A 17,223-nucleotide genomic window follows, 5' to 3' on the forward strand; every position below is an offset into this window, starting at 1 on the left:
CGTGTGTGTGTGGACAGTTCAGTGATGTTAAGAAAATGTACACTGTCGTGCAGTCATCACCACCACTCACCTCCAGAACTTTTTCATCTCCCTCACATGAAACTCTGGACCATCAAACACCAACTTTCCATTCAATGGCATGCCCTGGCCCCTGGCAACCCCCATCCTGCTTTTTTTTTTTTTTTTTTTTTTTTTTTGCTAGGGCTGTGTCTTATATAGCACCTTCAGCTGCTACCTACAGCAGACGTGCTGTAGACTGTGTGTCCTGGCCCCTGGCAACCCCCATCCTGCTTTTTTCTCTATGAATTGGACTCCTCTAGGGACCTAATGTAAGTGGAATCACAATATTTGTCTTTTTGTAACTGGCTTATTTCACTTAGCATAATGTCTCCAAGGTTCACCCATGTTGCAGCGTGGGTCTGAGTTTCCTTCCTTTTTGGGATAGAATACTAACTATTCCACTGTATGGATAGATCACATTGGGTTTATCCACTGAGCTATCCAAGGACGCCTGAGTTGCTTTTGCCTTTTGGCTATTGGGAATAGTGCTGCTATGAATGTGAGTGTGCATGTATCTCTTTGAGACCCTGTTTTCAATGCTTCTGTGTGTATACCTACGAGTGGAATTACTGGATCATATGGAAATTCTGTTTTTCTTTTCTTTTATTTATTATTATTTCTTTTTTCAGACAGAGTCTCACTCTGTTGGCCAGGCTGGAGTGCAGTGGCACAATATTGGCTCACTGCAACCTCTGCCTCCCAGGATCAAGCGATTTCTGGCTAATTTTTGTATTTTTAGTAGAGACAGGATTCCCCCATGTTGATCAGGCTGGTCTAAGTGATCCACCTGCCTCGGCCTCCCAAAGTGCGAGGTTTACAGGCGTGAGCCACCGTGCCTGGCCAAAATTCTATTTTTAAATGTTTGAGGAAATGCTGTGCTGTTTTTCACAGCAGTTATACCCTTTTATATCCCCACAGAAAAATCACCCCTTCTTAAACAGGGGAGCCTGCGTCTGTTTCTCAGAGGAAGGCAGTGGGCGTCAGTCATGAACAGCCTTTGTAAATTGCACAAACATATAAGATGATTATTAAAGTAGGAACCCCCCACTTTTCCCACCCCCAAAAGCAAGGGCATCCCCTGGTGTATGACCTAGGAAACTGAGGACACATGGCAGGAGGGACCCTAAGGGGCACCGGCCCTGCTCACAGGCCTTGGCTCCCGCCCGACCATGGGCTCATGGCCATCAGGAGACAGCAGCCTGCCCTCCCCCATCACACTGAGTCCCTCCCTGCCCCTGTCTTCTCCAGATGCCATGGAGATGGGAGGACTCACCTCCTGTGTCCCCCTCTGCAGAGTCTTCCATAGTTATAAAGGAGGTAGATTTCTTAGCTTACGTCCCCATTTTAGAGGTCACAAAACTGAGTCACTGAGGAGAATGAATTTTTCGTTGGGTTACGCCTTTAGGACTAAAAGTGACCAATCCAGCAGTAGGATTCACAGCGTGTCCAGCAGCAGAGTTCAGGCATAAGGCTATATTCACATACGTGTCCTCAGTAGTGGGCTCCTTGTCATTTCTGCCTCAGGGAAACTGATTCCAGTAAGGTACAAAAGCCACCATAAGGACTCCTTGTTCAGGAATTTCCTATTTACTGAGATGGGTTAGTCTAAGCCCTCACGGACTCCTGAGAACAGGCCTGGCACCTGCCGGTGGAAGGCTATTAGGGGCTAGACTGTGTCCCCCAAAATTAATACAGTGAAGTCCTAACCTCTAATACCTCAGGATGTGACTGGGTCTGAAGAAAGGGCGTTCAAGGAGGTAATGAAGTTAAAATCAGGTCACAAGGCTGAGCCCTAATCTCATCTGACTGGTCTCTTTAGAAGAAGGAGAGATTAAGCACAGGAGCCGTGGCTCACTCCTGTAATCCCAGCACTTTGGGAGGCCAAGGTGGGAGGATCACTTGAGGCCAGGAGTTCGAGGCCAGCCTGGGCAACATAGTAAGATCCTGTCTTTAAAAAAAAAAAATAGCTGGCCGTGGTAGTGCACACCTATAGTCCCAGCTACTTAGGAGGCTGAGGTGGGAGGATCCCTTGAGCCAAGGAGGTCAAGGCTGCAGTGAGCTGTGATCACATCACTGCATGTCAGCCTGGATGACAGAGCAGAGACCCCCAAAAAAGGGAGAAGAGGCAGAGATTAGGACACACACAGAGAGGTACCCAGGGCATGAGGACACAAGGGAAAGACCATGTGAAGACACTAGGAGAAGATGGCCATCTGCAAGCCAGGGAGAGAGGCCTCAGGAGAAACCAGCCCCACCAGCACCTTGACTTTGGACTTCCAGCCTCCAGAACTGTGAGGAAATAAATATCTGTTCTTGAAACCACATAAACTGGTATTTTGTCATGGCAGCCACAGCAAACTAATACAAAGGCCCAGAGAGTTTGATTTTGGCCGACTTGAAGGAGAGACCTTTCAGCAGAGCTGTGCTGGAGTGACTGCTGTGTGAGCTTCGCATGGTGTCCCACATGAGCCTGGGCGACCATCGGAGGAGCTGCCACAGAAGCAAATAATATTAATTAAAGTCCAAATTCTCTCGCTTAGAGCAAGTGATTTTTGCTTCTTGCTTATATGGAGTTCAGTGGCCAGTGGCCAGGGGCTTCGCCTCATGCAGTCATTCAGGGACTCAGGATGATGGAGGATGCACTGTCTTCTACCTGTGGTTTTTGAGGTCACACTGGACACCCAGCTGGAAGATGGGGAGTTGAGGAATGTAGAGAATCATTTGGGGGTTTTAATGTGCCAGGTAGGAGGCTGCACTCTTCCATCTGCATCCATTGGCCAGAACTCAGTCTTGGGGCTCCACTCAACTGGAAGGCAGGAGGGAGAATGGAGTCTGGCTGTGCTGGCAGGAGAGGGAGATGGGCTGGTCAGCCACCAGGAGGGCTCAGGATGGAGTGGAAAAGGTGATTTCCAAGGCCTCCCCTGGCACCAGTATTCAGGAGAGCCTCTCACGGAAGGAGGCTGCTGCTGTCTCTCTCACTATACCTTTCCTGCTTACAGCTTCTCAATACCCCGGCCCCTCTGCCGACCTCTTGCAATCCAAGTGACATGAGCCATGGGTACGTGACAGTAAAGGTGAGTCAGTTTTGTCTCTCAGTCGGCTAAGTGCTCTCCCACCAGGTCACCTAAAACGACCAGCAGAGACACCCAAGAGGCTGAGCTGTGAGGATCACCTGAACCTGAGCCTGGGAAGTGGAGGTTGCAGTGAGCTGTGATCACACCACTGTGCTCCAGCCTGGGCAACGGAGTGAAACCCTGTCTCAAGAAAAAAAAAAAAAAAAAAGGACCAGCAGTGACATTTGTTAAATATCGAGGGTGGTTGAACATCCACTATTTATAAGGAAATGTTATTTCCCACAAATCTCATTCCTCAGAAATCAGTGAAAGACAGACCCTGTCTCGGATTCTATAAAGCAGTGTGACTGATGTGGCCAAACCCCCATAGAACAGCAGGCTAGGGAGCTTGGGCAGCCTGGGAGGCTAAAGCATGCACACAGCTGGCCTGTGTTGGAGGAGAGCATGTTTTCATTCAACAGGCATTTATCGAACACTTCCTCTGTGTCAGGCACAGGCCAGATACAAGGGGTGCAGTGACGATCAAGACAGACCTGTCCTCAAGGAGCCCACATTGAGGGCAAAGAGAGGGAAAGGTCATTAAAATGTTCTTTTTGTTTTAAAGGGTTATCATAAAGCCAAGGCCACACACAGAGGGCCCTGGCTCGTGGCCTGGCTGAGACATCTAACTTGGCTTGCTGACACAGAGCAGGGGTTTAGTACGTCCTCATGGATTCACTTTGGGATCTTTCCTCATTTGTCATTGGCCTCATTTAAATATGAAAGGATCTAAAGCAGTGGGTCCACTCATCAGCAAAAAAGGCCAGACAGCTACTGTGCAGGCAGATAAACCCAGCTGGAATCTTGGTTTTGCCACTTAACTGACATTGCAGCCTTGGACAAGCATCTTATCCCGGTGAGCATCAGTATCCACAACTTCATAATGAAATGACAATAATATCTCTCCATGCCATTTCTGTGAGAATTAAATGAAATGTTGTATGCAGACCATGGGGCATAGTATCCAACAGCCACGTACTCCATAAACAGCAGCTGACAAACAGGAGAACTGGAGGCTATGGCTGTGCTGACCTTGGAGACCTTGGGGACCCTTGCTGTCCTGGAGGAGAACCTTCAGAGAGAAATTCTGAGATGAATGGAGGGTCTTCCATGGTCCCAGGGATTTTACACTCACAACCTCGGTGGTTTGGTTACAGCAAGGATGAGGTGCCTGCTCAGAATGGGATCTGTGCTCAGAATGGGTTCTGCCAGGGTGGAGGCAGCCACCACAAATGTAAAGTGGGCATCCAGGCACGAGTGGGTTTGCATAGTAAGAAAAGGCTTTTCTGGGACTTAAAGCTACTGCTCAGCGCCACTGACATCCCTTCTATAACTCTGGGTTCTCCTGAAGGGGTGAGTGTTTAATCAGGGCCTTCTGGTCTCATCTCTCTGGTGGTAAAGAGGAGTGAGGGGCTTTTCGCCCAGGGCTGGGGGCTGGATTGTAACCGTGGACAGGGTTATTCTCATAATTCCCTTAGGGTTTGCATATCCAGCCAGTTTCAAGAGATTATTTATTTGACCTTGAAGGAGTGTGATCAGAATCACTTTACCCCACCTTGTCTTTCCCCCACCCCATATTTAAGAGCTGGCAGTGAATTTCTGGGGAGTCCCAGCTGCGCCAGGCTCTCAGGGGGCTGTTGTATTGATTGCCACTGAATCCTAAACTGGGTTGATAATAGATCTTTCTGTGTTCTGGCTTTATGGACATTTTTCTTAACACAGAAAAAAAATGAGATGGGAAAGGACATGCGTTTGCTGGGCTACTCAGCTGAGTCAATATGAAGCTGTGAGCCTCAGTATCCACAGCTTCATGATGAGATGATAAAGCTCAAGAGTGAGCTGTTTAGTTGGGATCTGTGCTAGAACACAGGCGAACTAGGATCGTTTTTGATCAGACATAAGTGTGAAACATTTCTCAGTGTAAGGTAGATCAAATTTAATGTCAACTTTTGCCAAGTGCTGAAGGAAAGACTATGGAACAAACTCTGATAAACACTGTAGTCTGTGAGAGGGTCTGCCAGATGCCCACCTAATGTTTTCTTGAGCAAAATAGCTTGTTGGGAATTATGAATAAAACTTTCTGTGGGGCCAGGTGTGGTGGCTCATGCCTGTAATCCCAGCACTTTGGGAGGCCAAGGCAGGAGGATCACTTAATGCCAGGAGTTCGAGACCAGCCTGGGCAACATAGTGAGACCCCCCATCTCTAAAATTAGCTGGGGTGGTGGTATGCATCTGTGGTCCCAGCTACTTGGGAGACTGAGGTGGGAGGATCGCTAGAGCCCAGGAGTTTGAGGCTGCAGTGAGCTATGATCATGCCCCTGCCCTCCAGCCTGGGCAACAAAGTGAGACCATGTCCCCCACACTGCCCAAAAAAGAAACTTCCAGTGTGGGGCACAGCTTGGAGTCATCTAACATACAGCCAAGTGGAATTGTTCCACGTGAATTTCTATAATGTGACTCTGATTGTTCTCCTGCATTTCCTTTAGGATCGTGGAGATATGTAATTGGGGTAAGAACAGGGCACTTTGATTATTTGGTTCATTTGGCTGGACCCCACCATAACAGTCAAGGCTGGTTAGTGGCTATAACAAACACCCTGTCCCTTTCAGTGGCTTCACACCAAGTGTATTTCTCGCCTACAGCACAGTGCAGTGTTGTGGGCTCTGTCCACACAGCCATTCAAGCAACCAGACTCCTTCTCTCTGCTGCCTCCACCTTCCTCGAGGCCCATGTCATTCAGGCAGAGATAGGCAAAGGGAGGGAGGCCACGCACAGGAGGTTCCTGTGACCCCCGGATGTAGCACCTTTCCTCTGCTTGGGAGACACTGGCCGGAGCTCACTTGTGCGTCCACACCGACTGTAGGAGGGGGAGGTGCTCTGCGAGATGCTACCATGTGTCTGGAAGAAGATGGGAACACAGACTTTGTCAAGCCCTCACAGTCTCTGCCACACCCGTAGCCCCCAAAAAGACTATGGGTGTGGCAAAGCTTGAACAGATTTCATATTTAAGAAGTAAACAGCTCTTAATGAAACACTTATAGTATTGAGACAGCCAGGTGGGAGGGGGTCCCCAGAGAAACTCCAAACAGCCTGTGCACTGGGGTGGAGCCTCAGGAAGTTCTTGCCCTTTGCAGCAGGGAGGAGCCTGGCCCCTCCTCCTCCTGTGTGGAAACTGGGATTCCAACAGCGAGGCGGGAAGTGCTGTGGCAGGGAACTCTGGCCTTGCAGAGAGTCCCTGTTCCCCGTTTTTTTCCTTTTCACCAAGAAAACCCTGCTCTTTACTCATGCTTCAAACTGCGAGCCTATATTTTCATGACCTTGGGAACAAGAACCCCGTCTTCAGCTGAACTAAGGAAAAGTCTTGCAACAGTATTCTGCACGTGACCATGAATATTAAGCTCTGCACAGTATCAGCCCCCTGTTTAATATACTGAAAACACATCACAACAGCATCAGAAACTGTGAGAGTATGGGGGCCTTGTAGAGAGGAAGGAGAAGTGTGTTGTTTTGTTTTATTTTGTTTTCCAACATCATAATCTTTGCAGAATTCTTAGGTTATGGTGAGAGCCACCTGTTTTTATTGAGTAGGTTGGCCAGGGCCTCTTCTCAGCCATTTTCATGTAACACTGGGGTCTTTCACTGAGAAATCTGGGTCATGCACAATCCAGCAACGGACTGAAACGGCCCTGGCATTCTGCAGACGCTGTGGGGCCTGGGTCCACTGGGCCTGGTGCTTGGTCGCTGCCCTCTCCTCTTTCCCTTCCACAGCCCAGGGTCCGTCTGCATTTTGTGGAGCTGGGCTCCGGCCCTGCTGTGTGCCTCTGCCATGGATTTCCCGAGAGTTGGTATTCTTGGAGGTACCAGGTGAGAAAGCTGGGGAAGATGCAGCCAGTCAGGGTGAGGTTGGGGGAGTCTAGATGGTGTGGTCCGACGTGGACTGTCGTGAGGAAGCTGAAACCTGACAGTGGAGCATTGTCTCCAAAGTGTGACCAGGTTGGGGCAGGAGGGTGACTCCAGACCTCAGGGCTATGTTAGGCCACGAGGCACTTTTGCAGATTAGAAAAGGGCAGACTTCTTTAAGACACTCCATGCCCCCTGCTGGGAAGTCTCTGTAATGAGTATAGAAAGCTGCAAGAGCTTTGCCAGGGAAGATGCTGTCTTAGATGTGGCATTTCTCCCGTGCCCCACCACCGTCCACAGCAGCCCTGTATAAATGGGCTTATTTCAGCTCCATGGCAAAGTTACCGGGTAGTGCCCTGTGGCTCTTGGTTTGATCCATTTACAGGAAGAAGGGGATGGAGGGAAGCAAAGAGGGAGTATCCGCCTAGGACTGATGGGACCATGCTGGAGTGTGCCTGTTTGTTTTCTAGATCCCTGCTCTGGCCCAGGCAGGTTACCGGGTCCTAGCTATGGACATGAAAGGCTATGGAGAGTCATCTGCTCCTCCCGGTGGGTGTGCTGTCTTGCAGCTGTCTTATGCTGGTCTTGCCTTCTACCTGCCTGAGCGCTCCACGCCTCGGTGCTTTCCCTGGTCCCAGATCAGAGTAGCCTTCCCCTTAAGAGAGTCTGACTTCACCTCTTTCCTCTCCTACGGTGCCCTGTGTCTCTGCACTTTGGGCCTCAGATGCCCCTGCCCCCCACACTCTGAATGAATACAGCAGCCCCTAAGGCTCATGCTCCAAGGGATCTCCCACTGATCATGGGGGATGGCGGACATAGAATGTACCATCCATCTCCAGAACATTCTTCATCTTGCAAAACTGAAAGGCTGTATTCAGTCCTCAGTTCTTCCTCTCCCCAACCCCTGACAACTTCCATTCTACTTTCTGTCTCTATGAATCTAACTCCTCTAAAGACTGCATATAAGTGGAATCATACAGTATTTGTGCTTTTGTGTCTGGCTTCTTTCACTTAGCATAATGTCCTGAAGTTTCCTCCATGTTATAGACGGCACCACAATTTCCTTCCTATTTTTTTTTTTTTTTTTTGAGACGGAGTCTCACTCTGTCACCCAGGCTAGAGTGCAATGGTGTGATCTTAGCTCACTGCAACCTCTGCCTCCTGGGTTCAAGTGATTCTCCTGCCTCAGCCTCCCTAGTAGCTGGGATTACACGTGTGTGCCACCACACCTGGCTAATTTTTGTATTTTTAGTAGAGACCCACTTTGCTGGATACATTTATCTTTCAGTTCTTGTAACTTTTCATGAATTATTTCTTTGATAATTTTTTCTTGTATTTTCTCTATTTTTGTTGTTCTTTTTCTTTTTGCTTTCTGGAATTGCTATTGTTAAAATATTGTTATTGTTAAAATTGCTATTATTTTTTAAATCATACTACCCATTGATTTGGGTACTCATATGACCCAAAGTAACCTACAGATGCAATGCAATCCCTGTCAAAATCTCAATGGCATTTTTTACAAAAATAGAGACAGCAATTCTACAGTTCTTATGGACCCACAAAAGACTGCAAATAGTCAAAGCGACCTTCAGAAAGAATAACAAAGCTGGAGGCATTTGAAGCACACTTCCTGATTTCAAACTACATTATAAGTCTATAGTATGATACAAACAGTGTGATACAAACATAAAGACAGACATACTTTCAGTGGAACAGAATAGAAAGCCCAGCAGTTGATCCACATGTATGTGGTCAACTGATCTTTGACAAGGGTATCAAGAATACACAGTGGAGAAAGGACACTCTCTTCAAACAAATGGTGGTGGGGAAACATGAAAAAGAATGAAATTGGACCTTTATCTTACACCACACACAAAAATCAACTCAAAATGGATGAAAGGCTTAGATGTATGACCTGAAACTGTACAGCTTCTAGAAGAAAACACAGGGGGAAAGCTTGACATTGGTCTTGGCAATGATTTCACAGATGGATATGACATCAAAAGCACAGGCAACAAAAGCAAAAGCAAACACTCGAGTCTACCTCAGTCTAAGGATTTAGTAAGTTTTTGTGGGTTTTTGTTGTTGTTGTTTGGTTTTTGGTTTTCTTTGCAAAAAGGTCCTTTTGATGTGTTGATATATTTTAAGTAACGTGAATTAAATATGTTTCTTTTATTTTTAATTGCAGAAATAGAAGAATATTGCATGGAAGTGTTATGTAAGGTAAGAAGAATCTTGGGTAACATCTTCCCCATCCTGCGATTTTTGTTGCTATAAACCCGAAGCTGGGGTATCCATTCAAATTTTAGGGAAGCATCATTTCACAGCCTCTGGGTATAAATTCCTACTGAAAGTTGAACAGTATTTCCAAATGATAGCCCACATGTATGCAGCATCGACTGTGTGTCAGGTCTTCCTCCAAGCAACTGACAGAAGAGAAAACTGAGTCATGGGAAGTTAAAGGTAATTGCCTGAGGTCAGTAGCCAGTAGAGCCAGGTTGGAAGCCTGCAGTACTGCATTCGATTGCCTCACCATCTAAAGCATTGAAAAAAGTCACTTTATTCTGGTAAAGACATTGTTGGCCAGACCTAGGCCAGACCTGTGCAGACTGTGACCAGCATGGAATTCCTGCTCTAAGACAGGTGTAAGCACCATCCTGGAGAGGGGCCCCTCACTTCAGTGCTGGCAGGGGAGGCCAAGGCCAAGGGGAGGAGAGACTGGGTCCCAAACCTCCACGCAGCTCAGGAGCAAAAGCAAAAGCTGGGGGAGCCCAGGGGAGGAAACAGCCCCCAGGTTGGCTGGGGAACTAGTAATGCTGCTGGTGACACTACGATTACAAAAGCCTCCATCTCTGAGTCACAGCCCTGTGGGGGCTTCTCCCCCTCATGTGTGCCCCACAGCTTCATGCGCTGGCTTTGGCATCTCAGAAGCAATCATGGGTAAAAGTTCCATTTCCAGGCAGGGCTGCTCCTCCTTCCTCAGTTTTCCAGTCTTTGCCTCTTGCACTCTGCTGCTTCTGATCCCAAGTGTCTCCCCCAAAGTCCTACCAAGGTCTCACCAGTGACCCCAGGAGCCCCTATCCTGCTGTTGTCCTCTAACCTGGACCTTGCTTATTTCCATCAAAATCCATTCTTGAGACAGGGACATTGGGTCACTTAGGAGAACTGGTCTCTTGAAGAAAGTCCTTTTACCAAAAACAAACAAGATGGTGCTCCCATCCTCCTGTTCCACCTTTGAAAAATCATGAGTACATCCACAGCTAGGTATTTACCCAAGAAAATCGATGACATAGGTCCACAAAGATACCCAGATGCAAATGTTCACAGCAGCATTATCCCTAACAGCCAAAAATGGAGACAACCCACATGTCCATCAGCTGATGAATGGATAAATAAAATGTGGGCCATCCCTGCAGTGGGACACTGTTCAGCTATACAGAGGAATGACGTGCTGGTGCAAGCTTCAGTGGGAATGATCCCTCAAAAGACGATGCTTAGCAAAAGAAGCCAGTTTCTGTGTCAGGACAGTGGGTGGTGGGGGCAGGAATGTGTTGTCCCCAGGGTGGAACGAGCCTCTCACTGCTCCCCTGCAGCAGCACAAGGGCAAGCTCTACAGGGCAGCTGTCTTCCGTCCCCCTCCAGTAAAGAGCCCAGGCTTGCTGTCTTACAATGGTGATGGGATAGTTAGGGATATGTATTGGCATACACTGAATAATTCACTGTGCGTGTTTGGAGTCAGCTTGGTTCCTGAGAGGATGCTGGGAAGGGAAGGGTGATGTCGTGAAGACTGATGAACGATGGACGGCTGCACTGCTCAGCCTGGCTACCGTAACAAAGCGCCACAGACTAGGCACTTCAACAATAGACGTTTGTTTTCTCACAGTTTTGGAGGCTGGAAGTCTAAGATCAAGGTCTCGGCCTCCGGTGCCAGCACTGAAGTGAGGGGCTCCTCTCCAGGATGGTGCTTACACCTGTCTTAGAGCAGGAACTCCATGCTGGTCACAGTCTGCACAGGTCTGGCCTAGGTCTGGCCAACAAAGGCACAGTTGTTTCTCTGAGGCCTTTCCTGGGCTTGTAGATGCCACCTTCTTCCTGTGTCCTCACGTGCTCGTCCCTCTGTGCGTGTCTGTGTCCTAATCTCCTCCTCTTTTCTTTTCTTTTTTTTTTTTTTAATAAGCAACAGGGTCTCCTTATGTTGCCCCGGTTGGTCTTCAACTTCTGGGCTCAAGGGATCCTCCTGCCTCAGCCTCCCAAAGTGCTAGGATTACAGGTGCGGGCCATTGTGCCCAGCCTAATCTCTCCTTTTTTTTTAATTTTATTTTTTTTATTTTTTTGAGATGGAGTCTTGTTCTGTTGCCCAGGCTAGAGTGCAGTGGTGCGATCTCAGCTCACTGCAACCTCCGCCTCCTGAGTTCAAGCGATTCTCCTGCCTCAGCCTCCTGAGTAGCTGGGATTACAGGCGCCGGCCACCGTGCCCAGCTAATTTTTGTTTTGTTTTGTTTTGGGTTTTTTTTTTGAGATGGAGTTTCACTTTGTTACCAGGCTGGAGTGCAGTGGCATGATCTCGGCTCACTGCAATCTCTGCCTCCCGGGTTCAAGTGATTCTCCTGCCTCATTCTCCCAAGTAGCTGGGACTATAGGCGTGCACCACCACACCCAGCTAATTTTTATATTTTTAGTAGAGATGGGGTTTCACCATGTTGGCCAGGATGATCTTGATCTCTTGACCTCATGTTCTGCCCGCCTCGGCCTCCCAAAGTGCTGGGATTACAGCCTTGAGCGACTGTGCCCGGCTTAATCTCCTCCTCTGATCAGGACTCCCAGACCCGTTGGATTAGGGCTCACCCATATGGCCTCATTTTACCTTAATCATCTCCTTAAAGGCTGTATCTTCAAAAACAGTCCCATTCTGAGGCCCTGGGGGTTAGGACTTCAACACAGCAGTTTTGGGGAGGACGCAGTTCAGCCCATCATAAAGGCTGAGGCAGGCGGGTGTGGTTGCTGATTTTGCCTGTGTGTGTCTTCTTCCTTAGGAGATGGTAACCTTCCTGGATAAACTGGTAAGTCATTATTTTGAACTGATATCTTTGGAGAATTCCTTTGGGGCCTGGGTAATTAAAGAAAAGGCGTCAGCCTCGAGCAGAGGTGCACGGGCAGGGAGGGCCCATTTTGGGGCAGTTTAGGGCAGAGTGGGCATGGGCAGGGAAAATCACAAAAACAATGACAAAGAGCAAGGATTGCGTGGAGAACAGGATGGAGATGAGCTTGTTTATTTGTCTTTTAATGAAAGGCAGGTTCCAGGGAATGGGACCAGGGAGGACAGCCTTGAGTATCCATTAGAGAAGTTTGGAAAATACCCCATAGGCTAATATTTCTCAGCTCTTTAAACTTTCATCCCTTCTGACACTCCTAAAACCTCCTGTTTGCATTTGACATTGTCATGAATGTCAAACTCAATGATACCAAATGAAAGCAAATCAGCAGTGGTGAGCTGAGAATGCGCTTTTGCAGAGTACACTTCCCACTCCCAAGACTGCATGGTATAACAGCGTCCCCTTCCCCCAAGTGAGGTCAGAGGGGCAGAATGGACGGAGGGGTCAGGCCCAGGCAGAACAGCAGCAGTGGAGGACAGAGAAGGATGATGGAGCTGTGGGACTTAAGGCCTCTTAATTGGATGTGGGAGTCAGAGAGGATCTAGGAGGCTGACCTCTGGTTCACCAGCAGGGCGCTGTGCCTGACACGGCAGGGAAGAGACCCTGAGAATATCATGGTCCCTACCCTCTGCAGATTCTCAGTTTCCTGGGATTAGGTTTGGAACTTTTGTGTGTGATGGGGACAGGGAACAGGGCATGGCCCAGAGTGGCCACCCAGTCCTGACTCTGTACAGACTTCTGTCTAGAAGCGTGTCCCTTATTGTTGAGAGAGTGACTCTGCGGTTGCTGCCAGTGGGGTCAGTGTGGAGCGAGGTGTGGATAGGCTCTGCCATCTAGGTTTCGCTCTGTGATGTTTGTGTGACAAAACCACCTGACACATTTCTGAGAACGTGTCCCCCTTGTTAAGTGACACGTGGCTATAGCTCTTCCATAAAGGGGAGTTGACGTTGTCATTTTCAATACCAGCAGCGGAAAGAGAGAGATTAAAGATGCTTTGGGACTTTTAATGGTTGTTTAAGGGAGGAGAGCTTCCAAAAAAGTGGGGTTGTGGGGGGTAGAAGCATAATCATTTGATAAAAGATGCACATGGAACATGAAGAGGTAAGTTTTACTTCTTTTAAGATAGAAGGGAGGAAAAAGAAAAGAACGAAAGAAAATTTGATTTGAGAGAAGGTAGAGAGGGAGAAGGAACCCATGGCCTGTGGCCTTGGTCTCCTAAGCAGATGTAAAAGGCTGGCTATTTGTGTTGAGGGTCTGTGGCTGGTGGAGGGAGGAGAGGCTTGAAGGGTGGGCATTTGGAGAGCTGCTGTGGGTCGGGGGAGGAGACCCTGGTGTCGAGGGGCTGGCTGATGGCCGAACCTCTCAGCACCCCGTTCCAGAAGCCTCCCCACATTCGGCTCCCTTCTTTTTCCTTCTCTAGGGCCTCTCTCAAGCAGTGTTCATTGGCCATGACTGGGGTGGCATGCTGGTGTGGTACATGGCTCTCTTCTACCCCGAGAGAGTGAGGTAATTGGGCCTCGGGCAATAAAGATTTGGAGGAGGCTGGACTTGAACTCCTGTGAGAATTGTTCCTCAGATCTTTAAGCCCAGAAAACTTCTCAAAAACAAGTAGGTAGTCTGGGAAGGTGATGTCTTCACTCTTTAGTGTCTGGTGACACATTATAAAGAGGGCCTAGCCGGGCGTGGTGGCTCATGCCTGTAATCCCAGCATTTTTGGGAGGCCAAGGTGGGTGGATCACCTGAGGTCAGGAGTTTGAGACCAGCCCTGGCCAACATGGTGAAACCTCATCTCTACTAAAAATACAAAAACTAGCCGGGCATGGTGGCGTGCACCTATACTCCCAGCTACTCTGGAGGCTGAGGCAGGAGAATCGCTTGAACCCAGGAGGTGGAGGTTGCAGTGAGCCAAGATCATGCCATTGCCCTCCAGCCTGGGTGACAAGAGTGAAACTCCGTTTCCAAAAAAAAAAAAAAAAAAAAAAAAAGGGCCTAATGAGCTAATGTGTTAGGAAGCGGCACCTGTTCCACTTACAGGCAATGGGACAAATAATTCAGGGCCCGAGTGGCCAGTGGGAATACAGGAGGATCCTGACTTGAGCTTGAGGGGTGCAGGGGAGGCAACAGGTGTGTCTTCAGTCCTGGACTGAGAATCAGAAAGCGTGGCCTTCGGTCTGCCCTGATCAGCTGTGTGACACATCACTTCGCTTCTTAGGCTTTGGCATTCTCAACCACAAAGTGGTAATGGTAACTCCTGCCTGACTCCACAACCAGAAAATGCTGTGCAAATGTCCAGTGAGCCCAGCATGTCATGGTCCCCACCATTTCATTCATAATCATTCTTAGACCAGCATTTCATGGCTTGAGTGGGAGCTATCAGATGGCAGGTTTTGGGCCCAGAGACTCTGTAGTCTCTTTGGCCATTTGAGCTGGTGAGCTGCAGCTAAACCTGTCTGACTTCCCATTTCAGCCTCTGGTCTTAGCAAGTTAAAGAAACATCATCCTAAGCCACCATCTGAATTTCCCTAACTAACCCAGTTATTTTGTATTTGGCTAAGTTTATGAGATTGGAACTACCAGGAAACTTTGTTCTGCTTCACTCCTGGCTCAAATGATAGGATTATATCAAAGAATAAAAAGAATCAAATGTTCCTAAAATATTGTTAAAGTTTTCATGGTATTGTTGTGTTCATCTCTCTAGCTTTTTAAATTTTTTAAAAAAATTTCTTGTGGGTACATAGCATATTCTAGCTTCTTCCTCTCTCTTTCTCTGTCCCCTCTCTCATTCAAAGTGGAAATAAGAGCTTGATTCTTAAGAACTGGGTTCACCAAAAAGTTACCCTGCAGACTGCACAACGTACTGGTTAAAGTCAACAAAAGGAAAGATAGCAACGAGCTGTGTTTGCCCCTCAAATTCACCCCCTTTTCTATTCCTGTTTTTTTTTTTTTTTGAGACAGAGTCTCACTCCATTGTCCAGGCTGGAGTGTAGTGGTGCAACCTTGGCTTACTGCAACCTCTACCTTCTGGGTTCAAGTGATTCTCCTGCCTCAGCCTCCTGAGTAGCTGGGACCACAGGCATGCACCAACACGCCCAGCTAAATTTTGTATTTTTAGTAGAGATGAGGCTTTACCACATTGGCCAGGCTGGTCTAGAACTCCTGGCCTCAAGTGATCCACCCCCATCAGCCTCCCAAAGTGCTGAGATTACAGGCATGAGCCACTATGCTTGTCCGTCTTTTCTATTCCTTTTGCTAGCATCCTATTCCCTCTTCAGGTGATAAGTCAGTGGTCTACTGGCTGGATTCCCAGGTTCTGGCCTCTCTGTCTGCTTCCATATGGTCTCTCAGTGCTTGATTAATCTTCCTGACCTCTCTCTCTGTGTCCATGTGGTCTCTCAGGGCTGGATTAATCATCCTGACTGCAACTCGGATCCACCCTCCCTTCTTCTGAGACGCCCTCATGGTTTTCTTGGTTCTTACAGCACCAAATTCAGACTCAGGTCCCTTCATGTCTAGGCTCCCCACTGCCTTTCTGTTGTTATTTCCCAACATATTCCATTCCATGCTTGGCTTCTAGCCACGCAGACTGTGTGCTCCATTGAATACAGCTGCAAGCTTTGCCCCCTTCTAGAATTTGCTCAGGCTACCTTATGTTGTTCCCCTCCCAGGCCTTGTTCTCCTCCCCAGCTCTCCCCATTCTGAAAAGCCAAGTTCAAATGCTCCCTTTTCCACAGGGTCCTCCATGATGCCCAGTTCAGGAATTCCTTATCTCCTTCCAACTCCTATGCTATTTTGTGCTATTCTATGGCTCATATCATAGTCATCTCATAAGGTCACTGTGTGTTTTTCTATTTTTCCTTATTAAATTATAATGAGCTCCTTGAGGATAAAAACGATATTTTATTCATTTTACATTTTCTCTCCTCTAGTATATGCCATAGAATTATGCTCAATCCAGAGGAGACACAATGAGTGAATAAAGGGAGGGAAAAAAAATGAATGTATATTTTAAAACTAGAGAGAGATTCGTGTCTCCATATTCTATCCAGGGTTGCTACAGTATGTGTACTGTGTGTGTGTGTGTGTGTGTGTGTGTGTGTGTGTGTGTGCGCGCGCGCGCGCGCACCTATGTGTCTAAGGCAAGTTGGTGAGAAATACTGCAGTTTAGTAGGAAAAAAACCAATGGACTAGGAATCGAAAATCCTGAGTTCTGATCCCATTCTCCCATTCACTGCTAGTGTATGACCTTGTGCATAGAATGTTCCCACTCTGAGCTTCAGTTTTGAACTGCAAAGTCCTTTCTGGCTCTTGTAAGACTGTCTTCTTACAGGGGCTATGTCTTGCTGCCTCTTATTTCTGTAGGGCGGTGGCCAGTTTGAATACTCCCTTCATACCAGCAAATCCCAACATGTCCCCTTTGGAGAGTATCAAAGCCAACCCAGTATTTGATTACCAGCTCTACTTCCAAGAACCAGTAAGTATGGCACCAAGGGCAACAATGGGAGCATTAGTGTTTGCCTTTCCCCTTCCTGTCTCCTTCTTATTTGCTTTATCACTGTCCCCTTTAATTTTATGTGGCATTAGTCAGAAATGATTTTACAAATGGGCTCAGGTGAAACTGGCTGCCATGCCCAGCTGATCCTTCCCAGGCAATGGCACATTTCCGTGTGTGTTCGGGTGGTGAAGGGCCGGGGGATGTTGTACCCTGGGGGGATGGCTTCTCTGGTGTCTCTGCAATTGCAGAGTTTTGGGGCTCAATGCTCAGGTAGAGCTGCCCCTCCTCATTCTCTGGCTGAAAGGCTGGTGATTATGGCACCAGGGTCTAAGAGTCCTGCAACAGGCCCCACATGTGCTCTGAAGAATCTGAGAAGTTTCTAGGTATCAGTACACGTGCCACAAAGATGCCTTTCAAAGATGCCCCCAGATGTGGCTGATACATATATTGGGGCATCCCTGCCACTGTTAACTGGAATTCACTGAGAGCAGCATCAGGAGTCAAC

The 17,223-nt window shown here is 47.9% G+C and overlaps 1 protein-coding gene across 14 annotated transcripts in view; it reads left to right on the forward strand.

Moving 5' to 3' along the window:
• The window catches only part of EPHX2 (epoxide hydrolase 2), a 57,484-nt gene that overhangs the window by 17,634 nt on the left and 22,627 nt on the right, over positions 1–17,223 (forward strand). For 10 of the 14 annotated variants that reach the window (NR_182231.1, NM_001414017.1, NM_001979.6 and 7 more), the window contains 7 exons: positions 3,060–3,134; positions 6,942–7,037; positions 7,544–7,622; positions 9,262–9,296; positions 12,107–12,133; positions 13,647–13,732; positions 16,586–16,697. Coding sequence is in view for 11 of the 14 variants with exons in the window: in NM_001414017.1 (NP_001400946.1) it covers positions 3,060–3,134; positions 6,942–7,037; positions 7,544–7,622; positions 9,262–9,296; positions 12,107–12,133; positions 13,647–13,732; positions 16,586–16,697 (510 nt within the window). In the remaining 3 variants the exon portion in view is untranslated. Of the gene's footprint in view, positions 1–2,408; positions 2,600–3,059; positions 3,135–6,941; positions 7,038–7,543; positions 7,623–9,261; positions 9,313–12,106; positions 12,134–13,646; positions 13,733–16,585; positions 16,698–17,223 lie in introns of those variants that run through there. The other 4 variants (NR_182233.1, NR_182232.1, NM_001414019.1 and 1 more) reach the window with 4 other exon arrangements.

The sequence above is a fragment of the Homo sapiens genome, chromosome 8 (assembly GCF_000001405.40).
Source record: "Homo sapiens chromosome 8, GRCh38.p14 Primary Assembly".
Taxonomy (NCBI): Eukaryota; Metazoa; Chordata; class Mammalia; order Primates; family Hominidae; genus Homo; species Homo sapiens.